The sequence below is a fragment of the Homo sapiens genome, chromosome 5 (genome assembly GCF_000001405.40).
Source record: "Homo sapiens chromosome 5, GRCh38.p14 Primary Assembly".
NCBI lineage: Eukaryota > Metazoa > Chordata > Mammalia > Primates > Hominidae > Homo > Homo sapiens.
Genome location: NC_000005.10, coordinates 159,498,784 through 159,522,963, shown reverse-complemented (window position 1 = coordinate 159,522,963; position 24,180 = coordinate 159,498,784). Strand labels below are relative to the sequence as shown.

General features: G+C 43.8%; 3 long non-coding RNA genes across 3 annotated transcripts in view, besides 2 other annotated features; 2 read left to right on the top strand and 1 right to left on the bottom strand.

The window, feature by feature from the left end:
* LOC105377684 (uncharacterized) overlaps window positions 1-7,387 on the bottom strand; it is a 114,041-nt gene extending 106,654 nt beyond the window's left edge. Inside the window, exons 1-2 of the long non-coding RNA XR_941139.3 lie at window positions 6,880-7,387; window positions 4,537-4,680 (exon numbers count right to left, since the gene is read on the bottom strand). This is a non-coding gene — a long non-coding RNA (uncharacterized LOC105377684). The remainder of the gene's footprint in view (window positions 1-4,536; window positions 4,681-6,879) is intronic.
* LOC105377685 (uncharacterized) lies at window positions 2,651-10,512 on the top strand. The gene is made up of 4 exons (XR_941142.3): window positions 2,651-2,732; window positions 3,415-3,527; window positions 10,126-10,264; window positions 10,366-10,512. It is a non-coding gene; the product is annotated as an uncharacterized LOC105377685 (long non-coding RNA).
* Window positions 7,005-7,054: an enhancer, noted in NCBI's record as "active region_23550". NCBI's record gives its function as "activates an Ori minimal core promoter by ATAC-STARR-seq in GM12878 lymphoblastoid cells {active_cell/tissue: GM12878}" and the evidence as "EXISTENCE:reporter gene assay evidence [ECO:0000049][PMID:35858748]".
* Window positions 10,513-11,105: 593 nt separating the features above from the next.
* On the top strand, window positions 11,106-18,198 carry LOC124901123 (uncharacterized). The gene is made up of 2 exons (XR_007059022.1): window positions 11,106-11,379; window positions 18,028-18,198. It is a non-coding gene; the product is annotated as an uncharacterized LOC124901123 (long non-coding RNA).
* Window positions 12,538-13,038: an enhancer, noted in NCBI's record as "H3K4me1 hESC enhancer chr5:158936934-158937434 (GRCh37/hg19 assembly coordinates)". NCBI's record gives its function as "activates a minimal SCP1, AML or CMV promoter by ChIP-STARR-seq in naive H9 embryonic stem cells {active_cell/tissue: H9 hESC(naive)}" and the evidence as "EXISTENCE:reporter gene assay evidence [ECO:0000049][PMID:30033119]".
* Window positions 18,199-24,180: the final 5,982 nt, after the last annotated feature.

Here is a 24,180-nt window from a genome sequence, read left to right as displayed (position 1 = left end):
CATACTTGGAATACTCAACCCCCAATTATGGCCCTTTCCCATTTTTTCCTCTCACAAACAATGCTGCAATGAACATTCTAGTATCAATAATCTGATGTACTTCTGTGAATGTATAAGTAAATTAAACTCTTGCCCATGGGTCAAAGGGTAGATGCATTTATAATTGATTGACATTACCAAAACGCACAACTAAAATATTGCATCCAGTTATCTGCACAGTAACTGAATAAAAGCCTTTGTTTCCTCATTCATTTGTCAATACTGAGTACAGTCAGCCCTCCATATCTGTAGGTTCTGTATCAATGGATTCAACCAACCTCAGACTGAAGATATTTTAAAACACAAATACAAACAGCAATACAAAAAATATATAAAAATGCAGTATAACCAATTTTTACATAGCATTTACATTGCATTAGCTATTATAAATAATCTAGACATGATTTGAAGTACACAGGAGGATGGGTGTGGGTTATATGCAAATACTACACCATTTTATATGAGGGACTTAAGCATCTTCAGATTCTGGTAACTGGAGGGTCCTGGAGCCAAAGTCTTGAGAATATCAAGGGATGACTATTATCATATATTTTAAATTTTTGCCAATCTGATAGGTGAAAAATCGCACCTTGTTGTTTGGACTTGCATGTCTTTAATTTGATGAAACTGGAACATCTTTTCATTCATTTATTGAATATTTGCATTCGTTTTTCTGGGAACTGCCTTTCATATCCTTTGCCCATTTTTTGGTTGGCCTGTTCATATTTATTCTTATTGGTTTGTGTAAGCTGTTTGTAAAATAAGGAAATTATCTCTGTCTGTTTTATGTGTTTCAAATATCGTGTACCACTTTATCATTTGTCTCTTGACTTTGTGGAATTTGCTTCCACAAAGACATGTTAATTTTATGTAGTCACATTTATTGATATTTTGCTTTATGAAGACTGGTGTGATGGGGGAAGAATAGGCAATGAGATGACCCACTTCAGATGGTATTTGCCTGTCCCTTTGTCCTTTCTGAAGCCAGAGACTTGGAGTTGACACAAGGCTGAAACAAGAGTGGGAGGAAGGTTGTACTGGTCCACCTGCTTGAAAGGCTATGACTGGTGCTGGGTCAGCTACTTTCATAGACCCAGAGCAACACTCATTTCACTTTTCACTTTTGGTGCAAAAGACAGTTGGTTGGTCCACGTTCCTTTACCCTCGTGGAGAATTATCTTTCTGGGGCCTCATTACTCTTTCTGCAATGTGACCTTGGTGGGGGTCACCCACCAAACAAATGTCATAACTGAATCTGCAAGAGAACAAGTTGAAGTTGTTGTCTTTCTCCTCCCAGGAGGCCACTGTGCTCCTAAAAGTATAGGTGCAAATAGCCCATCCATCTCTCCCCAGCATAAAGGAAGGTCCCCTCTTACTACTAATGGAGGAGTAAGACACAAGTCCCTAATTCAACCAAAATGTCTTGGTACAAAATTAATGAACCCACTGATCACCCCTTAAACCTTCCAGAGGAATATGTCGACTTAATTGAATCTCTTCTTGGTGGCACTTCAAGAAGTATAAAAAGGGAGGTGACAAACATTCAAGTTCTGTGGGAAAGGACACTTGTGGGCAGGGTGGAGGGGAGATGGTCAGCGTATGAGCACATCTACCCTGCCCCGGGTTCTGCCCCAGGGTCAGCTCCCCTAACTGCTCTCCACTGCTCAGCGCAGCCCCGCCTCTAAAAATGCCATTTTAATTTGATTTTTTTTTTTTTTTTTTGAGATGGAGTCTCACTCTGTCGCCAGGCTGGAGTGCAGCGGTGTAATCTCGGCTCACTGCAACCTCTGCCTCCCGGGTTGAAGCGATTCTCCTGCCTCAGCCTCCCCAGTAGCTGGGATTACGGGCATGCACCACCACACTCGGCTAATTTTTATATTTTTAGTACAGACGGGGTTTTACCATGTTGGCCAGGATGGTCTCGATCTCTTGACCTCATGATCCACCTGCCTTGGCCTCCCAAAGTGCTGGGATTACAGGCGTGAGCCACTGCACCCGGCCTAATTTGATTTTTAAAATCACACCGACGGCAGTAGTGGTCAGCGGGGAGGTGCACCAGGTACTGCAGCTGTTCGGATCCCAGATGGTTTGTCAGAATGGAGTTGATGAGTTGGGAACTCTACTATACTGCTTTTGGGTGAACAGAAAGGGGGCAATAGAGTTATCTAAGATGGAAAGCTGGCATAACTCACATCCTGCTCATAACCCTGTGCCCATACCCCAGGAAATGGGTATGAATTTTGCTTCCCAACTCAGTGAGAAGAAACGCTGCATTACTTCAAGTCCAATGAAATCTAACTCTTAAGTCCTCACTCAGAGGTTGGTAGGAAATTCAGTCTCAGTCATGATTCTGAGAGCCCTTCTAGCCCCTGAATTCATACCAGAATCCAGGATCTTATTTGGAGATGAGGTAACAGAAGAAGAGTCATCCTGAGCGAGCTCACTGCTGACACGCCAATGGTTGAAACCCATGGCCCTTTGAAATGTGCTGCTCACTCCTGTGTGCTGCTGGGTGTTTCCTGAAAGCTACGTTCCAACTGTGCTCTGAGATCCCGCAACTTTCTGAGGGTGCTGAGTATGGATGGAGTGTGGGGCCCTGACAACTAGAGAACTTGCTCAAACCTGGCCGTTTCCTCAGTTGTGGTGGTTTTAAAACATGTCTGCAAACCCTCAGACCTTCCTCTCATTAAGAGGTGAAGCCTAATTCCTCTCCCTTTGAGTATGGCCGATCCTTGGTGTCATGGGCTAAACTGTGTCCTTCCCCTCCTCTCAGATTCATATATTGAAACCTCCAGTACCTTCAGAATGTGACTGTATTTGGAGATAGGGCCTTTCAAGAGGTAATCAAGTTAAAATAAGACCAATAGGGTGGTAGGGTGGGGCCCTAATCCAATTTAACTGCTCTCCTCATGTAAGAAGAGGAGATTAGGACACAGACACACACTTAGAAGGAAGCCCACATGAAGACACAGGGAGAAGATGACCATCCAGAAGTCAAGGAGAGCAGCCTCAGAAAAAAAAAAAACAACCCTTCCGACACCTTGATCTCAGACTTCTGGCCTTCAGAACAGAAAACAAATTTCTGTTGTCCAAGCCGCCTACTCTGCGGTGCTTTGTTATGGCAGCCCAGCAAACTAATGCCCTTGGGGACTCACTCTATAGAATAGAATGCAGCCAAAATGATGCCGCCTGGCTTCTCAGGCTAAGTCAGAAAGGGTGATGGAGCTTCTGCCTAGTTCTCTCCCAAGACGCCCACCCTTGGAACCTGGCCGCCACATGGTGAGGAGGAAGCCCAGGCCCCACAGAGAGGTGTGGGTGTTCTGGCTGGCATCCCCAGCTAGGGCCCCAGATCTGACAGCCAGCATTAATTGCCAGGTATGTGAGTGAGCAAACCATGAGAGGAGTCCAGCCCTGGCCTTCCAGCCGTCCCAGCTGAGCGGAGAGACAGACATGCTGTTCCTGCAGCATCCTGGCCAAACTGCCAATTCGTGAGTAAAATAAATGTTGTTGTTTTAAGCCAGGGCATTTTTTAAAGCAGCAGTGGATAAAAAGAACACCCGTCTTGAGGTATCAACAGTTTCTTCTGCTTCTCTAACCTTAAGGAACATTTTCTGTCTCCTCCTCCCCGTTTGGAAAGATCCCATAAAATCTCCCCTCCATTTGTCTTTAGTTATACAATATTGGCTTCTCTTGCCAGGGGGTAAGGGTGGGGGGAGAAGAGGTTTATGCCAACCAGTGTTTCTTATGAATTTACACGAATACAGTAATTTGAGTGTTCCCCATACAACAGGCTTTTATGTCAGGTGGAAGGTGAGGTCTGTAAAAGTAAGCAGGTCAGTGCGTTTTTATACAGTGGTGATGAATAAGTGCAGGTCCCCATTGGCCGCCTCTGCTCATGCTTCATGCCAACCTTGAGTTTATATGCAGCACTCTGCCACATCCCTCCAAAAAACCCAATTCCCAAAGCATTAGAGATTAATGCAGACATTATTGAAAGTTGAATTGGAAAGTGGAGAGACAGGTACATTTCCCATTACACAAGAAAACTTTTGGAGTCTACCGTAGACATCACCACCTTTTCTTTCTAGTCTTCCCACCATCTATCCCCTCCCCGCAGGTGCCCTATCACCTCCACCAGCGAGATTCCACCTCCCTTCCCTAACTTGCTACTCTCAGCCTAATAAAAAATCCTGGGCAGCCAAACAGGAACAGCTTATTGTTCCTGAAGCATGCCCCAAAGGCTTTCAGCTCATTCCAACACACTTCCAAACTCATTTTAGTGTTCTTACTCATGTTACTTGTTTCTGTTTCTTTCCCTTGGAGCTCAAGGAAATTGGCAAGAGTCGCACTGTTTTCTCTTCTCTTTGCTGTGCTGAAGAATGCGACCATGGCAGCCCTCCTCTAAAATTCCCTTGCCAAAGTCAACAATGAGGTGGAGAACCTAGAGCCAGGCACCCTGTGCCTGATGTCCCAATCTTGCTGTGGCAATGGCCTTACCTGCAAATGGCACGCAGCACATAGCTCTAAAACAGCAACAGGACAAGGCAAGTGCAAAAGGAAATGCTCCCAGTGTGCCCATCATCATTTTTCTTGCTAGATGGAGGGTATTGGAATCTATTCCTCATCTCAGAGGTGGGCAAACTGTGGAAATCAAACCAGTGGGTAACACCAGGGATGTAGATTAGTGGAAGTCAGCCGACTCTCAGAGAGGCAATTATGTAATAATTATAACATTGTTATGTAACAATTATAAAGGGGACTTCCAGACCACTTCTGAGACAGACATCATGCCAAGTGCTTTATGCACTATCCCAATTAATACTCAGAACAACCTTGTGAGGCAGGTACCATTATTATTCACATTTCACACATGGATGGCAAAACGGAGGCTCAAAGGTCCTAAGGGCCTTATCCAGGACTACAGAGCTAATGAGGACAGCTGACTAATGAGCAAATGAAGACAGTCCTCTTGTCTCCTAGTCTGTATCAAAGGAATATCAAAGGAATCTGGTCTGAGAAGGCCCAAAAAGAAGAGCTGCCTTTTTTTGAGTATGTGCTAACCTTTGAGGAAAGGTCTCTGTATGGTTGCACATAGCGGCTCTGTGAGGAAGATGTGCTTATCATCCTCATGGAACGAATGAAATGGGTTCAGTAGATGAGTGGGGAGCAATAAGCTTAATAGGATGGATGGAATCGAGAGGGTAGGTAAGTCTGGGAGGTCTGTGAGTCATCTACATAGGATTGGCAGGTTGCTTTTAAGGTTTCCTTTCTTCAGCGGTCACTCTTCTATTTAATATTCGACTAGCAATAGTCTGAACCTGTCCCTCTCCACTGGACCACACCAGCATGAGGCATCTTCAGTTTCCTTCCCTGGTTTTACTGTCACTCCCTGAAGAATGCTTACTGCTTTGTCCAAATCCCTTCAGGTGACTTTTTGTCATCTTTAGACACTGGGGCTTTGTTTATCCTGCTTTGTCTCAAGTTGAACATTCGAGAGCATCTAATGCACAACACCAAAGTTGGCACTTTGGTCAGCTTCCCAAAGCTGACACCGAGTTCTACCCGTGAATGGGGCATGAGGGCCAGGCCCACCTTTTTATACAATACTAGGGGAAGTGATGGTGCCCTTGGCTGGCACTGTTTGAATGCAGCAGCCCCAATGAAAGTGCCTATCTCCCACATTACCACACACACACCAGCACTAGGTATTAACATCTTCAACAAGTGAAAAATTGATTGCTTTTAAATTCGCATTGCAAAACAAATATTTTACACTGCAAAGCACAAAACAAGTTCAAGTCCAACATATAACGTTAGTTAGAGGGCACACAATCTACATAATGACAATGTTAGTGTTGTCAGGACAAAGACCTTTTTTAAGTACTTGCTAAGTACCAGGTACTCTGATAAACACTTTATATACTTTAATGACCACCCTGTGAGGTAGCTATAGTTACTGTCTTGTTTACAGACAAGGAAGCAGAGGCACAGAGAAACAAAGTAATTTAACTTGCTCCAGGACTTAGCAAATCAGTAACTGAGCCAAGACAGCCCCACTAAGGCAGTGGAGCATCCAAGAGGGACATGTTTGGTGGGCCTTAGTCTCTCCTCTGTCAACCACTTTCAGGTGATTCAGGCGTATTATGTCCTTCTCCAAGCCTCTGCTACTCATTGTTAAAGTGTTGGAGACTCACCTGGTTGCTGTGAAGACCAAATGGGAAGGGGATGGGGGAAGAGATAAAGAGGAGAGAAAAAGAAGAGATAGAGAGAGGGAACGGGAGGGGAAGGAAGGTCAACGTCCCTGATTAACAGTAGCATAAGCTGTAAAAACATCCAACACTCCGATTATTTCCACCAAAGACATTTCTTCACTAAATTCTGGGCAAGCCAGGCCACTGACTATGGATGGGGAACCTAAACCTGGTCACTTCCCATTCCTGGGCACCCTCTCTGCAAAAAGAACAGAGTTGATTATCCCTGAAGAGTCCCTAGAGCTAAAGAATGTGTCATAATGGGGGACCTAGCCGAGTGGAGTGACTCATGCCTATAATCCCAGCACTTTGGGAGGTCGAAGCAGGGGGATTGCTTGAACCCAGGAGTTTGAGAACAGCCTACGCAACATAGTGAGACCTCATCTCTACTAAATGTTTTTAATTAGCTGAGCATGGGACCTGTAGTCCCAGCTACTCAGGAGGCTGACACAGAAGGATTGCTGGGGCCCAGGAGTTCGAGGTTGTGGTGAGCTATGATTGCACCATTGCACTTCAGCCTGGGCAACAAAGTAAGACCCTGTCTCTAAAAAAAAAAAAAAAAAAAAAAAAAAACTGAGTTGACTCATACCTTCTTCCTGTTCCCATCACCTGCCAAGCAGCAGATGGGTCAGTAGCCACCAGCGACACCTGCAGGCGGCGGGAAGCCCTGCAGCTGCTCAGGACGAAGGCTCAGGACTCCGTGGTGTTATTAACACTTCATTGAGTTGAGGGAAGGTCTTTGATTTTCTTTAAATCGAAAGTCTGGGGGAGAGTTCGTGTTTGTTAAACAATCTCATGCATCAAGAAGTATAATTCCCAGGAATTTCCACTCTGCTACCTGTTTCGTGAAATGCAGCAAGGAAATTTGTACTGTTCTCTCATAGACACATTCAAGACTGATCTAAATTTCAGATGCAGCAAGCAGTGGCCTTGGTTTCATTTTTTAAGGGTAGTATGAAGGTATTCCATGTCCCTCAACAAAATCCTCTCTTTCCTAAGCCTGTTGAGAAAGATTTACTTGCTATTATCAATTAACTCCTTTGGACTAGGCTCTGACCTCTTTTTGAAGAGCATTTTGAAAATGCAAACTTTGTGATAGAGATAATCCATTAAGTCTCTATCACATAGTGTAAATGACCATCAGGCTGCTCATTTTAATTATTCACTCTATAAATCTGGGGAAAACCCCTCGACTCTCTGTGACTCTGTTTTCTCAGCTGTGAAGTGGAAATAATGGTGACTGTAAAGATTAGCTGATGCAGCCCACATTAAGGGCACAATGCCTGGCACAGTCAACATGGAAGCGATGGAAGGCGTGGTGGTGGGAGTCATAGTAGCAGCAGCAGGAGAGGAGTTATTGTTGTCCACACCAAAAGAGATGAGGAGAAGTAAGACCAGTCAGTACCTGGAAGGGAAAAGGAGTACTAAAAGGAAAGCAGATAGAAGACGAAAGCCACCAACTGGGCCATTTTGCTGAGAGCTGATCCTGGTGACTACATGGCAGATACAGACAACCAGGGCGCCTGCCACCAACTCAGCAGGAGTTAGGTCCCAGGCACCTCAGCTCAGACACTGAATTCATTCTCTTTGAATCTTCGTAAGAACTGGATGAAGTAGATTGTACTTATAGCCGTCATTTACAGTTGAGAAAACTGAGCCTCAGAGAGTTAGGGCAACTTGCCTTAAAGGCATACAGCAAAGAGGCAACAGAACCAGGATCCAAACCATCTCTGTCTGGCCTCAAAGCCTAAATGGCCAACTCAGAACCACTGCCCTAGGAACCATAGGCAACATCAAGCAGCTTCATTTCTGCCTATTCCCTGGCTCAGGAGGCTGCAGCAACAGGGTGGGGTGGGGGGTGGTTGTGGGGGTACAGTGCACGTAGCTCTTCTCTCTTCAGAGTCTGGAGATTATAACCTTGCAGCAAGCAGACAAGCCCTAGCCCAGGAAGGGCTAGATCTGAAGCCCTGCTATCTGCTTCATTTCATCAGGCTGCCGGCGGCCGAGCACAGGAAATTAAAAGCAACTCGTAGATCATAGAGCGTGGCACCCAGTGATCTCAGACAGAATCCATCCCCTTCCCTCCCACTTTTCCTTGTGCAAGAGCATGGCTTTCAGCAGTCTGTTGCTGAATTTGTGCAGGGAATCAGGCTGCCCTAGTCGTTAGGGCCCTGGAGGCAAACAAGGAGACCCCGCCTTCGGAGGGTTCGGAGTCTGGGGAGGTAGGCCATTTACAGTGGGGGTGTGTGCAGAGGTGTGTGTGCGTGTGTGTGTGTGTGCGTGTGTGTTCTGGAAGGAGACACAGGAAACAGTGGTGGCCTCTGAGAGGGAAACTGGGGTCAGAGGCAAAGGAACGCCCAACTTTTCCATTTATATCAGTTTGTGTGCTTGAACTTTTTACCGTGTGTTTATGTTAACTATTTTTACAAACAATACATCTTTTAATGATGAAATAAAATACGGGTCTACATAGAGGATAGACTCCTAACCCACGGAGAAGGGCAAGATTAGAAACGATTTCTTCCAGGTGATACTCTCTAGTTCTAAAGAACAAAATCAATAGGTAACGAAGAAAGAAGAGGGAACTCCAGGTAGAGGGAGCTCAAGCAAAGGCTTGGAGGTATAGGGGCGCCAGGGCAGTAGCTTGGTGTTTGGGAAAGGGCCTAGCACTGGAAGATAAAGGATTGGTCCCTCAGCCCTTCTCCTTCCTCCTTCGTCTGTTAGCGACACACCACAGCACTGCTCAGTTCTAACTGTAGACCTATTGTGAAATTAATTGTAGAGGTGGGGAGTCATTTCACCTGCTCCACTCTTGTGTGTCAGCAGCAACATCTCACAGCTGAGGTACCCTGTGAGCATGGGCATCTGCTAATTCTGCTTGCCTGGCATCCCTTCCTCCAAGTTTTTTGGCAAAAGTACCCCCTTTCCTTCCTTGGTCAAATCTTTTATTCTCCTATGTGGTCCCGAGAAGATGGCCGGTCAATTTCGACACCCTTACTCCATGCTACCCCAGACAAGGAGGGTGGGGATGTGACCCAGACTCAGGCCATCGAACTTCTCTTCCTAAGGTTTGAACTTGGTGGAAGCCTCCTTATCATGGTAAACCCCTGGGCCAATTCACCCCCATGGGGTTGCCCTGAAGTGGGGTCTACTTGTTCCTGCTTATTGGGACCTGACTGTTCAACTTCCCCTTCAGTTCTACGTGCCACCCAGAATCCTCCCAATGGAACCCTTTGTTGGCTTTTTAGCCTATCGATTTCTGTTATTTACTACTAAAGAAGTCTGGTGAGTGCCTTTGTTCTTTGAGAGTCAAATAAAAATATGGTTTTAGACCCCAACCTACACACGATGAACGACCCTCACCCTTCTGGAGAATTCGTATTATCTCTTGCCTTATTTCACTTGTTTCCAGTGAGTTATTTTAGTTTACCGATGGTCTCACCATCCTCTGTGGGCTGTCTTTACCAATAAAAAAAAAAAAACTCAGCAACTTTCTTCAACTTCTCTCTGTTCTACCCCCTCCCAAATAAAGCCCACTTATACAAGGTGGTGTGTGTGTGTGTGTGTGTGTGTGTGTGTAGCAGTCTTTGATAAAGAGAGAAAAAGGTTTATAGAACTCACACACAAAAAAAAGTACAATAAAAAGTTAGACAACCCTGTTCTTAAAAGGTTTAACCAATGCAAACTTCAAATTCTAGTTTCTCTCTGCCAGATCCTCTCTGCCTCTATTTCTTCTCTTTCTTGAAACCCCCTCATCCAAGCTACCTATGTTATGCAAAAAAAAAAAAATTATTTCTCTCTTTATCACTTTGTCTCCTACCAACTTTGCCCTCAGGATTTCAAGGCAGTCTTCTCCCAAAAGAGAATTCTGAGGCTGGCCCACTACAATGTATTTCTGCAGACAGAAGATGAGAACAAGGCCAAATGATCAGTTGTGGCATCTTTCAGTCATAAGTTCAATGATTCTGGGCACAGTAAGAATGCCAATCTTTCTTTCTACTTTAATTCACATTCAATTAGATGGAACAATAATCTCTGCAAGCCTCTTTCACAGGTGATGTTCATTTCTCTCCAGAGGCAAGGAGCCCTCTAAGGGAAGGAAGTCATTCATCGAAATTAGAGCCACAGGCGGCTGAGGACAGGGCCAGGGACCAGCAGAGATTCTGGACAAGGTGACTGTCTGGTTGGCACCTGGGCTCTTCCCCTGCTGAATCTTTCTCTTGCAACTTTGTGTGTATACGCCCGGTCACCATGCACTCAGGATCCTGAGGGTGTGAGATCTGCATGGTATTTGCTTTTCATGGTGCCCACCCAAGCAATGATTGGCACTAGATACACAGTGGGTCACATGCTTGTAGAATTAGCTTGTAGAATTACCATATCCACTCCCAGAACCCAGAACATATCCACTCCCCAAATTAGCATATGCTTGTAGAATTAGCATATCCACTCCCAGAACTCACACTTCTCATAATCGTTCATTCAACAAACCATATTAAATTACTTCTCTGTGCTAAGCAACAGGGACAAAAGCAAAATAAGTCCCAACCCCTGTCCACAAGAGTCTAAGAATCTAGTAGAGGATGGAAAGAAAGAGGCAATTATTCAAAGGTAAGATAAGTACTGGGTCATGGATCCACTCATCAAGTGGCTATTGAGCATTTTCTATGTATTAGGCTTTGTCAGTTACCTGGGATTCGGGGGAAATAAGGCACATCTCTGTTAAAAAAAAAAAAAAAAAAACTATGAGTTTGATTGTGTGATGGGTGTCTAGAGGACAGGAAAAGTGGACAGGAGAAAATTCCCCAGCACCTAACACAGTGCCAAGCACAAAGAGTCACTCAGCAAATATTTATTGAATGAGAGTTGACTAAAACAAATAATTACAGAACATGATACAGACTATGACAGAAGCAAAAGTGGGCTGTGGCTATTTGAAAATCAGAGCATCTTTTAAAAGGGAGACGGCATCTGAACCTTGCCGAGTAGGAATGTTCCAGAAGTAAGAGAGATGACTAGGGTTTCAAGAACAAGGACCAGCACCTATGAAGGCTCTGAGGCACAGACCACTGTGACCTGTGGAGAAGTGGTGAGTGGAGAAGGAGCATGGGTTTGGTGGGGATGGTAGGGAATGGCCAGTAATGGGGTAGGAACAATAAGTCTAAGGCTACATCCCTGAGGGATTTATGACATATGAACACTGGAGAAGCAAGTGGACAGCTGCTGCTCCTCTGTATCTGCACTTTCACAGCAGAAAGTAGAAGGCACCTCTCACCTACCTGATAACGGAGGAGGTGAGAATGTAGGCTTTAGAATCAAGTGGACCCTGGGTTCAAATCCCAGCACTGCTACCTTTGAACAATGAGCTGTTGGGCAAGTAACTGAGCCTCTCTGCACCTCAATAGTTTCGTCTCCTAAACAAGTACCATGATATCCACCCAGGGGAGTGTTGGAAAGGAATAAATAAGGTAAGGTATGTAAAATCTTGATTAGAGTACCTGGCCTACAGTGACTATTTTGAAAGCATTGTTTTGTTATTGTTATTACTGTAATAATTATTATTCCTGTCATTCTATTTGGAATAATGTTACTTCTCATCTATCCTTTACTGCCTATAAAAAAAAGTTAAATTTGAGGCCAATCTTTTCCATATTGGTTATCTCCACAGAGCAAATGAATTTAGAGCCATTACTTGATGGTGAGTGGGGATTACTCAGGTTGGAAGGAACCTCCAAGTGCACATGGCCCGACAAACCTCCTCAATTTACCACTGAGGAGCCTGAGGCCCAGGTACCAAAGGCTGGCCCCTGGCCCCAAAACAGCTTACAGAGAGAACTGGGCTAACCCCTAGGCCTTCAGGCCCCAATCCAGACCCTCCAGATACAGTTCACTGTCTCCCATTTAACCCTGTTGCCAAGTCGACAAGGTCAAGACTAAAATCTACTGCAAACGCCAACCTCTCAGACACAAATCAGAGGGCCCTACCCGACTCACTGGGCCCACAGAGGTTGGTTTGCTTTCTTCACACTCTCTGCAGCATCCACAGGCTGCTGCTCAAATCTGAGAACAGACTCTGCCCTGGAGCCCTCAAAGAGGAGATGAGAGGCCCCTCCCAGCCAGTGTCAGCTTACAGTGGGAACAGGGCCTGGGGCACAGCCAGAGCCAGGCTGACACTGGAATGCTGTTGCTTCCCCATGCTCTCATCCCCAGCAGAGGCAGTGTCAGGCTGTGGCCGGCCTCACCATAGCAAGGGGCGTGTTTCTCACCAGAAGGCCTGGCAGGGTCACTCTGGAGTCAGCCCCTTTTCTGTCATTTGCTGCAGGCTCCCACAGTTTCCCAGAACTGCCCCCTTGGTCAGAGTCACGGTTCTCCTCTGGAAGAGAAGCTCAAGGGCAGACCCTCGGCAGGAAGCAGACCAGCATTTTCTGGAACTTCCCCGGTCGCTCTTCAGACCCCTCACTGAGGGATTTAATGGGAGGACTCACACGGCCTGAACAAGCCAAGTGAAGCACTTGTCTGCTATTCTGTTCCCTTTGTGAGACTCAGAGTACCTGCCATACCCATAGTCAAATTTAAATAAATATTTAACAAAAGGGGTTATTTTCTACACCATGAGAAAAAGAGGTGATTTTCTACACCAGAAGTTATTATTCTCTACTCACAGCTGGCCAGACCGTGGGTGAGGTTCCTAACCCATAGGTAGCCAAGATGTTGGCCCATGTGGGAACCGTGGTCCAGCCAGTAGGACTCTCCTGTGCTGGATGGTACTGACCCATTGAGCCAATCAGATTCTCTCTCGTGCCTTACTGTGTTCTCCAAATACATATTGAGAACTTCCATGTGCCAAGCTCTATGCTAGGTTCCAGTGATACAAACATAGAAGGGGCTCTGTAACCCCAGACCTCTGTGCTCTTAGAAGGAGTTCAGTATAGGAATCCATTCCTTATTAGCAACTTAAACTAACTGTTGGGATTTTGTTGCAACATATACACAACTCTCATTTATAATGTAACAGTTACTTTAAATAAACTGATGAATTTATCAGGACCCTCGAATTCAAGGAACAGAAACCTAACCCAATCTGGCATAAAGAAAAATTAGAATTTACTGGCTCATATCCACAAAGGCTAGGACTAGAGCTGTCCTCAGGAATTCAAATAATGATATCGTCTCTCCCTCTCTCCTTCCTCTCCCACCCCATCTCATTCCATATCTCAGATCTCTGCTTCTCTCCATCTGTTGGACTCATTCTTTCCTCACATAGCAGAGCTTTATTCACACTGCAGGAGACGTGGCATGGGCAGCTCCAGGCTTCATCAACCTAGATTTGCAACTCCCAAGGAAACAAAGATTTCTCTCTCCTAGCACTCAGAGGTAAAATTCAAGGGAAGAACACCAATAAACCAAACTTAGGTCATGTGGCCATCATGAAGCCAATCACTGTCGCAAGATGCGTGAGATCCCATGATTGGTCAAACCTTGGTCACATGACACAGCTCACCCACCAGAACCACATGGTGCAAACGAACAGTTCCCCACAGCAAGGAGGGTGCCTTTCCATAGAAAGGGAGTAGATGCTGAATAGGATGGAGAGGAGGAGGCAGAGAGAGACGTCTGTTACACCAGAAGGAATAAAAGGAAAAACTTGTTTTCCAAAAGAAAAGGTAGAAAAGGACTTTACCAAAGAGTAGTTTTAGGATTGTTGCTAATGGCCAGCTTTATTAGAATACAGAAGACATTGATATACTTTAAACAATTTAATGAGTGGCAATTCTCATAAGATATACAGAAGGAGTGAGTCAGCACAGAACTAATACAGTGACAGAGGACAAACCAAGTATCTTTGAGGGAGGAAGAGAACTCACATGCATTGAACATTTACTGGGTGCAGTACCTTGTTATGAAACTCTGTTGCTATCCTATGAGACAGACACTATTGTTTCCCTCCATTTACAGGAGCAGGAACTCATGCTCAGAGAAGTGTTCAAAAAAAAAACAAAAAAACAAAACAAAAAGGCCTCACTGATAATCCTATGACTAGTAAGTGTGGGGCTGGGATGTGATTCCAAGTTCGCCTGATTCCAAAGCTCATGCTCTTTCTACAAGTTCGGTCTGCGTTCCAAAGGCAAAATTGCAGCCCTGCTGAAAGGTGGAGGGGTGAACAATGAGTCCCTCCTCTATTTATAGACAGAGAACAAAACCAGACAGCCCAAAAGGGCAGAAGTGCCAAGAAGGAAAATAGTTTTTCTGGGTCCTTTATGAGGACATTTTTACTCCCAAAATGGAGATGGTGCCGGAAAGTAAGATTGCCCATCACGAACTGCTGCAGCAGCCAGGACAATGCAGCCAAGAAAGGACAATGGGTTCAGCACCCAGGGGTCATTAGTGGCCCTCAAGAGGCTGCTTCAACAGAGGAGTGTGTCCAGACCTGATATTTAAAGCAGTTTACAGCAAGCAACTGGTTGAGAAATCGAGGCTTCTAAAGTAGACCTACTCATTCAAGAATAGCAGTAAATATAATGATATCTGCATGTTTTAAAATTACAGGGAAGCAATGAATCAAGAGGAAAGGTTAAAAAATCAGACTTTAATAAAAATGAGTGCTTATCTTATTTTGCAGATAGAAAAGTGCAAGAAAGACATGCTATTAGAGACAGAAATAAAAATCCAAATTAACTGGACCAGCTGAGACTCTGGACTGGGAAAACATGAGTCTGAACCACTACAGGGTTCTCGGGGAGTTGTATCTTTCCTGACACACTGTTTGTTCACCCTTTTCTTTGGGCAACAGATGCCATTCCTGACCACATGGGTTGTCCTGTAAATGGTCTGGCCACTTGTGATACTTCATGCCACTGGAAACAGTAGTCAGTTGACCTAATGTGACTCAAACTAAGCCAGCCAGTCTGTCTCTCTGAGATTGGTGTATGGGCATTGGAAGAGCAGTCTTCTCTCTCCATTAGATTGTGAAGCTGGGGTCACGCAAGAGAAAGGCTTAAGCAGCCCCCCACGCATGAGCAACACAGATTAGCAATGACCTGGGCAAAGGGGATTTCTCTCTCTCAGCACCCATACGTAAAATCCGAAGAAAGGATCTCTGGACATGTGAAGGAAGCCCATTCATAAGTAGGAAAAAATGAGGCCAGTCCAAAGAAAGATGGAGAGAGAGAGAAAAACAAACAACAACCTTCAAAACTCTGAATCTAGCCAAATCTGCTCCCCATCCTGGACTTTCTCCTTTATTGGGCCATAATCAAAGAGTCCAGTTGTTTTCATTTCTAGCTGCCACAGATAAGTGAGAACATGTGCTTTTTGTCTTTCTGTATCTGGCTTGTTTCACTTAACATAATGACCTACAGTTCCATCCCTGTCGTTGGAAATGATGGGATCTCATTCTTTTTTATGGGTGTATAGTACTCTTTTTTATATTTAAGGAAGTTTGAAGTGAGTTTCTCTAGCTGGCAGCCAAAATAGAGTTCACTAACATAACTCCCATTGAAGCCTCAATCAAACCTCAATAGGTTGCCCTGTGAATGGAAATTAAAATTTTGACCTGCTGGAGCCGCTGAGAATGAATATAATTTTTTTAAAAAGGCATGGAGCTCTGTCCTCAAGAAACTCATAGTCATGGGAAGTTTTTTGCTTTCCTGCTACAAATAGGAAATCCTTCAGAAAGGTTGATGATGTCAGTGTAGGTATGTGTGGTGGGAGAGGGAATGGCAGGGGAGGCACAATCCTCTTCCAAAAGATAAATAATAATGACCAAGCTAATTATCACACTTGACAGATACACACAGGAGCCAAAGGGTGGTGCGCAGAGCTTTGTATGTTTCTCATTGAGACACATCAGCCCACCTCGAGCCTCTCATTGGGCTTCCAGACATCTTTTCTCTCTTGCCTAGCTTTTCCTTCCTTTCTTGGGATTCCCTTGTCCAGTTGGCCCTTTGGGCTCCCCTGCCCTCCCTCCAGGGCTCCCAGAAAAGCAGCTCCATTCACTCCCATTGGGAGCTGAAGAGAGTTGAGTCAGATTCCTTCATGGAAGGGGGCTTTGGGCTCTTTGGTAAAACATCAAAAGCTCAGCAAATTTTGCTCTAACAATGCCATCTCTCCTCTCACAGCACCTCTTCCATTAACTACTGCATTTGGAAATGTTTGTCTCTTTTCTCTGTCTTACCAGAAGCATTTTCCCCAAAAGAAGGGTGGGAAGAAAAGACAATTAGAGAGGGACCAGTGCTCAGGAACAGTCTTAGAACTCTCCCACAGGGCAGGCCACTGGGTGGCACAAGCTGAAGGATTCTGGGCAGTCCCCCTTCCCTCCCTCCACAAAAGCAATATGCTGTCTTATGCTTGGAACATCACTTACAAACTGTAAAGCCATGCTATGCAGCTATTAGATATCATTTTTTAAAACCCTACTCCAAAAAACTCTTTCCATACATAGTAGACCTGCAATAAGGAGGGTTTTTAAATGGAGGGATTCCATTGGTTTATAGAATTATTTTCAAATTCAGAGACCCTTGCACTGTCTTCCCCATGCTGCTGGTGAAGAAGTGAATCATTACAACCTTCCTGGTAGGTTATTTGGCAGTGTGCCTCAAAAGCCTTAAAAATGTTCATTTTTTTTTGAACCCCACAATTTTAATTCCAGAGCATGAATGGGCTCCACCATTTACCAGCCATGTGATTTAGGCTCTCTGAACCTCAGTTTCCTCATCTCTAAAATGGGGATAATATCATAGGCTGGTTGTGAGGATTAAATGAAATATATGGAATGCCTTAGAATGATGTCCAGCATACGATTACATGCTATGTGTGAGCTAAGTAAGTGATCAGAGAGAGAAGTAGAAATACATCTCAGTATTATTTTAATTGACAACATTTAGAAACATGTCTAATAATGGATTGTTAGCTAAACTAATTATGTGGATCCATAAGATGGAACATTACATGCCCGTTTTAAAAATCATGTTTTCAAAGAATATTTGATGATATGGGAAGATGTTCATAATATATCACTGGGCAAAAAAATTCGCGTTTTGAATAACATACACAGTATAATCTGAATATCAATATAAAAGGTAAAGAGAATACTTCAAAGTATTATTGGCAGGTATCTCTAAGTAAAGAACCTTTTCTGCAATGGAATCACCTGGGGAACTTAATAAAACAATCCTGCTCTAGGATACCATCCCTAGAAATTCTGATCAAATTGGCCTGGGCTGTGACCTGGGCCTCAGGATTCGTATTTTCTTCCACATGCTTGGATACTTTCCCTAGATTTTTTCCCCAAAGTTTTCTAAAATAAATATGTATCACTTTTATAATTAGAAATTAAAACCATAAATGCTGTTTAAAAGACATTTCAATTACCCCCACGAGAGTGGCTGACTAAGCAATGATTTTAGTGACTGGCTTACCAGATAGTTTTCTCCCAGGGAAAGCTGGAGTTTGGCAGAGGAGGGAGAAGCAATTCAGAGTATGAGTCACTGCCCTGGGGAACAGACCTAGGAGGGGCACTAGATGGGGAAGGAGGTGTGGGGCTCAAGGTGAGGACACTGGCCACTTGAGGGGCCAGGGCAGGGACTGAAGAGGTCCTACTGACCAGCTTTACAGGCTGAGCCTGTTGCACAGGCCACTCGGTTATTTATGGCCCTTCCTGTCTGAGGCCTTGCTAGGAGCCCCTTGTGATACTGGGGTTTCATTTGTGTGTGTCAGCATTATGCTTTCTCTTTTCCAGCAGACAGTCTTGATAAGGGGCGGGAGGAACGGACGCAACAAGGAGAAAGGAAGCAACGGAAGGTCTTCGGCTGCTAAAAAATGTAACTGACAAAGAGTCCAGGGCTGTTTGTATTTTTCTTCCTCTGTGTCTCATATTAAACACTTTGGGTCTGATGACTGAGTTTCTCCAGCCGACATAGCATTCATTTATTTTTTTCCCATTCATTCAGCAAGTCCTCCTTGAGCTCTTATTATATGCCAAGACCTGTACCAAGTCCTTTTCATCATTTAATTCTTATCTAGAGCCTTAAGCAAATGACTCAAGTACTGTGATTAGCTTGCCTTTTGCAGATGAAAAATTTGAAGCTCAGGGAAGTTACAGGCCTAACGTTGCCCAGCAAGTTGTTAATCATATCATCATCATCAGAATAGCTATTGATTATTGAGAATCTTTGTGCCAGACACTATACTGAAAGCTTTATACCCATGTGTCTTTAACCACTCCACCCCAGCAATAGCTCTGTGAGGAAAAGTTTATTATTATTAGCCATGATTTATAGATGGAAAAGCTTAGGTACAGAGAGAGAAGGTTATTCATCCAAGGCCACACAGCCATTAGGCAATAGGGAAGGATTTATACTCAAGTATGTCAAACTCCTGGCCTCCTGTTGTTAAACCCTGAGTAATGGTGCTCCCACAACTTAGTGACTGAGCTTCAGAAGTCAAGCTTAATGCCTTTAGCATGCAGTATATTTAAGACACTCACATTCAATTAAAGATGTTCATCTCAGTCTATTTTGGTTTATTCTCAATACCTGAGATTGCTACAGCCTACAAGCAAATAATATGAGGAGCTGGAAACCTACTCCAGCCTCATTTGCTTTTTTGTTCTTGTTGTTATTAAATTCTTATTCTCTAACTACTATTTCAAGCATGTGCCCATTATCATCCAAAGAACCACGGCAGAAGAGAATTATGGGAAGCTGAAAGAGAAGGCAAGAAAAGGGCACCTACTGGTTGCCACGGTGAAATGTTCGAAGGGAGAAGGAGGCAGCTATTAGCATTCAGTTTAATGGTGTGTTTAGCCCCATCCATAACTGGAAGTGTGTTTACCGTTTCATATTTCCTTAGTGAGCAGGAGCCACAAATCTCATTCTCCATATTGAAAGCCAGTTAGTGGTTCTAATTATGTGTCGGCTCACACTGTTCCTCAACCAAAGGGTGGGACAATGAGAGTTCCCCAGTTACCCCCAGCTGCATGACCGGATCCCTCACACCCTGGCCTTACAGGATTAACCATTTGCTGTCCAGTGGTTCCAGATGGTTCAAAGTTGCTTAAGATGTGGCCTGGGCACCTCCACACTGAAAATAAAATGGGGTCACTTCAAGCCCCAGGAACACTTCATCCCAATGCTTCCCATTTAAATGGCACATTACGAGCTGTTTATCCACACAGCAGCCTGCAATGTTGTCAAGCTCCACTGCCCCCATCCTGCAAACGGAGATACTGAGATAAAGGTACACCACCTGGAATGTGAATTAGCCACTTCCTACGAGGGAATGGAAAAGTTCCTAACCACAAGGAATTTGCTAAATCTCTCCCCAAACCTTCTTCCTCTGCCCCAGTGGTTCTCAAGCCTAGAAGCCCATCAGAATCACCTGGAAAGCTCTGGCTCCATCTTAGATCAAGTGCATCAACAGTTTTGCGGGTGGGTACCAGGAATCTCTATTTCATGAATGCTCCTCAGGGGATTCAGCTGAGCAGCTGGGCATGAGAACCATGGCTGCGACCCCTCCACCATTTCTCACAGCCCCTCGTTTATGAATCTGACATTTCTTTTTTTTTTTTAATTTTATTATTATTATACTTTAAGTTTTAGGGTACATGTGCACAATGTGCAGGTTAGTTACATATGTATACATGTGCCATGCTGGTGTGCTGCACCCATTAACTCGTCATTTAGCATTAGGTATATCTCCTAAAGCTATCCTTCCCCCCTTCCCCCACCCCACAACTGTCCGCAGAGTGTGATGTTCCCCTTCCTGTGTCCATGTGTTCTCATTGTTCAATTCCCACCTATGAGTGAGAATATGCAGTGTTTGGTTTTTTGTTCTTGCGATAGTTTACTGAGAATGATGATTTCCAGTTTCATCCATGTCCCTACAAAGGACATGAACTCATCGTTTTTTATGGCTGCATAGTATTCCATGGTGTATATGTGCCACATTTTCTTAATCCAGTCTATCATTGTTGGACGTTTGGGTTGGTTCCAAGTCTTTGCTATCGTGAATAGTGCCGCAATAAACATACACGTGCATGTGTCTTTATAGCAGCATGATTTATAGTCCTTTGGGTATATACCCAGTAATGGGATGGTTGGATCAAATGGTATTTCTAGTTATAGATCCCTGAGGAATCACCACACTGACTTCCACAAGGGTTGAACTAGTTTACAGTCCCACCAACAGTGTAAAAGTGTTCCTATTTCTCCACATCCTCTCCAGCACCTGTTCTTTCCTGACTTTTTAATGATCGCCATTCTAACTGGTGTAAGATGGTATCTCATTGTGGTTTTGATTTGCGTTTCTCTGATGGCCAGTGATGGTGAGCATTTTTTCATGTGTTTTTTGGTTGCATAAATGTCTTCTTTTGAGAAGTGTCTGTTCATGTCCCTCGCCCACTTTTTGATGGGGTTGTTTTTTTTTCTTGTAAATTTGTTTGAGTTCATTGTAGATTCTGGATATTAGCCCTTTGTCAGATGAGTAGGTTGCGAAAATTTTCTCCCATTTTGTGGGTTGCCTGTTCAGTCTGATGGTAGTTTCTTTTGCTGTGTAGAAGCTCTTTAGTTTAATTAGATCCCATTTGTCAATTTTGTCTTTTGTTGCCATTGCTTTTGGTGTTTTAGACATGAAGTCCTTGCCCATGCCTATGTCCTGAATGGTAATGCCTAGGTTTTCTTCTAGGGTTTTTATGGTTTTAGGTCTAACGTTTAAGTCTTTAATCCATCTTGAATTAATTTTTGTATAAGGTGTAAGGAAGGGATCCAGTTTCAGCTTTCTACATATGGCTAGCCAGTTTTCCCAGCACCATTTATTAAATAGGGAATCCTTTCCCCATTGCTTGTTTTTCTCAGGTTTGTCAAAGATCAGATAGTTGCAGATATGTGGTGTTATTTCTGAGGGCTCTGTTCTGTTCCATTGATCTAGATCTCTGTTTTCGTACCAGTACCTTGCTGTTTTGGTTACTGTAGCCTTGTAGTATAGTTTGAAGTCAGATAGCGTGATGCCTCCAGCTTTGTTCTTTTGGCTTAGGATTGACTTGGCGATGTGGGCTCTTTTTTGGTTCCATATGAACTTTAAAGTAGTTTTTTCCAATTCTGTGAGGAAAGTCATTGGTAGCTTGATGGGGATGGCATTGAATATATAAATTACCTTGGGCAGTATGGCCATTTTCATGATATTGATTCTTCCTACCCATGAGCATGGAATGTTCTTCCATTTGTTTGTATCCTCTTTTATTTCATTGAGCAGTGGTTTGTAGTTCTCCTTGAAGAGGTCCTTCACGTCCCTTGTAAGTTGGATTCCTAGGTATTTTATTCTCTTTGAAGCAATTGTGAATGGGAGTTCACTCATGATTTGGCTCTCTGTTTGTCTGTTATTGGTGTATAAGAATGCTTGTGATTTTTGTACATTGATTTTGTATCCTGGGACTTTGCTGAAGTTGCTTATCACCTTAAGGAGATTTTGGGCTGAGACAATGGGGTTTTCTAGATATACAATCATGCCATCTGCAAACAGGGACAATTTGACTTCCTCTTTTCCTAATTGAATACCCTTTATTTCCTTCTCCTGCCTAATTGCCCTGGCCAGAACTTCCAACACTATGTTGAATAGGAGTGGTGAAAGAGGGCATCCCTGTCTTGTGACAGTTTTCAAAGGGAATGCTTCCAGTTTTTGCCCATTCAGTATGATATTGGCTGTGGGTTTGTCATAGATAGCTCTTATTATTTTGAGATACGTCCCATCAATACCTAATTTATTAAGAGTTTTTAGCATGAGGGGTTGTTGAATTTTGTCAAAGGCCTTTTCTGCATGTATTGAGATAATCATGTGGTTTTTGTCTTTGGTTCTGTTTATATGCTGGATTACATTTATTGATTTGTGTATATTGAACCAGCCTTGCGTCCCAGGGATGAAGCCCACTTGATCATGGTGGCTAAGCTTTTTGATGTGCTGCTGGATTCGGTTTGCCAGTATTTTATTGAGGATTTTTGCATCAATGTTCATCAAGGATATTGGTCTAAAATTCTCTTTTTTGGTTGTGTCTCTGCCCGGCTTTGGTATCAGGATGATGCTGGCCTCATAAAATGAGTTAGGGAGGATTCCCTCTTTTTCTATTGATTGGAATAGTTTCAGAAGGAATGGTACCAGTTCCTCCTTGTACCTCTGGTAGAATTCGGCTGTGAATCCATCTGGTCCTGGACTCTTTTTGGTTGGTAAGCTATTGATTATTGCCACAATTTCAGAGCCTGTTATTGGTCTATTCAGAGATTCAACTTCTTCCTAGTTTAGTGTTGGGAGGGTGTATGTGTCGAGGAATTTACCTATTTCTTCTAGATTTTCTAGTTTATTTGCGTAGAGGTGTTTGTAGTATTCTCTGATGGTAGTTTGTATTTCTGTGGGATCAGTGGTGATATCCCCTTTATCATTTTTTATGAATCTGACATTTCATCCCTTCTGCCAAACAGATTATTCACTAAGCCAGAATTCCCATTAGGTAATATGACTAAGTGGTTAGCACAGGGATACTGAGGCCTGACTGACCTGGGTTTGAATCCCAGCTTTGCTACTTTCTCACTGTGTGACTTAGGACAGGTGAGCTAAACATACTTGGCTGTAATCTCATTATCTGCAAACCAAGAGTGGCAACAGTGGCCACCTTATAGGGCTATCAGGAGAATGAAGTTCCTGGCACACAATTAGTGCCTCATAGTAAATGGTAGCTATCACCATACATAACCATGGCCTAAGCTCTTTCTTACAGAAGATGAAGAGAAGAAAGTCTGTTCTGGGCCAGTGTGTTTCATGAAGGGCAAGTGGGGCAATGCCCAACTTTATATTCTTAAAATCCAGTTTTTCAACACGCAGTGAGAGGGTGATTTTTCCCCTTGTTCAATTAGAGAGAGGCCTAACAGCAGCAAGAACTATATAGACTGGATACTTGAAGGAGATGAACAGTTTAGAACAAGCTTGCCTGTCTCCTTTCTGAGAAAAACACCAAGTTTGGGTATTCAGAACATCCAGATGCAAACAAAAAAGTAGGAAAACAAACAAAAACCAAAATACCACCAGTTATCTGGCTTGGAACAACACAGATTCAGATCATTGCTCTGATTTTCCATTTTCCACGTGTGCATACAGATTCCTCATAGACAGTAATTAACATGCATTTTGTGCTTGTTGTATGCCAGGGCCATATTGTTTTCTTCTACAAACTGTCTTATGTTTTTATTTATTTTATTTTAATTTTTTTTTTTTTTTGAGACAGAGTCTCAGTCACCCAAGCTGGAGTGCAGTGGCGCAATCTCAGCTTACTGCAAACCTCCACCTCCCGGGTTCAAGTGATTCTCGTACCTCAGCCTCCCAAGTAGCTGGAATTACAGGTACGTGCGCTACCACCTCCAGGTAATTTTTGTATTTTTAGTAGAGACGGGGTTTCACCATGTTGGCCAGGCTGCTCTCAAACTCCTGGCCTCAAGTGACCCGCCCGCCTCAGCCTCCCAAAGTGCTGAGATTACAAGCATGAGCCACCGCGCCTGGCCTCAAACTGTCTCATTTAATTCTCATATCAGGCCCTTGGATAGATGCTATTTTACATAAGAAATCAAGGCTCAAAGAGATTAAATAACTTGTCCAAGATTACACAGTAAGCAGTAATATTGGGACTTAAACTCTACAGGCCCCACTCTTAACCAATCTACTGTCCTACTCCCAGGCTTTAGTCTGGCAGGGTAAATGCATGATGATTATTCCATGGCCAACAGATTACAAAGTCTTAAGTGCAATAGGCTCCAATTCCCAATGTCCAGCTCTGCAGCCTGACTGTCACCTCCCCTCATTCCCTGCCCCTGATTTCTTTGAAAGGCTTTTGGGAAATAATAACAGCATCTTT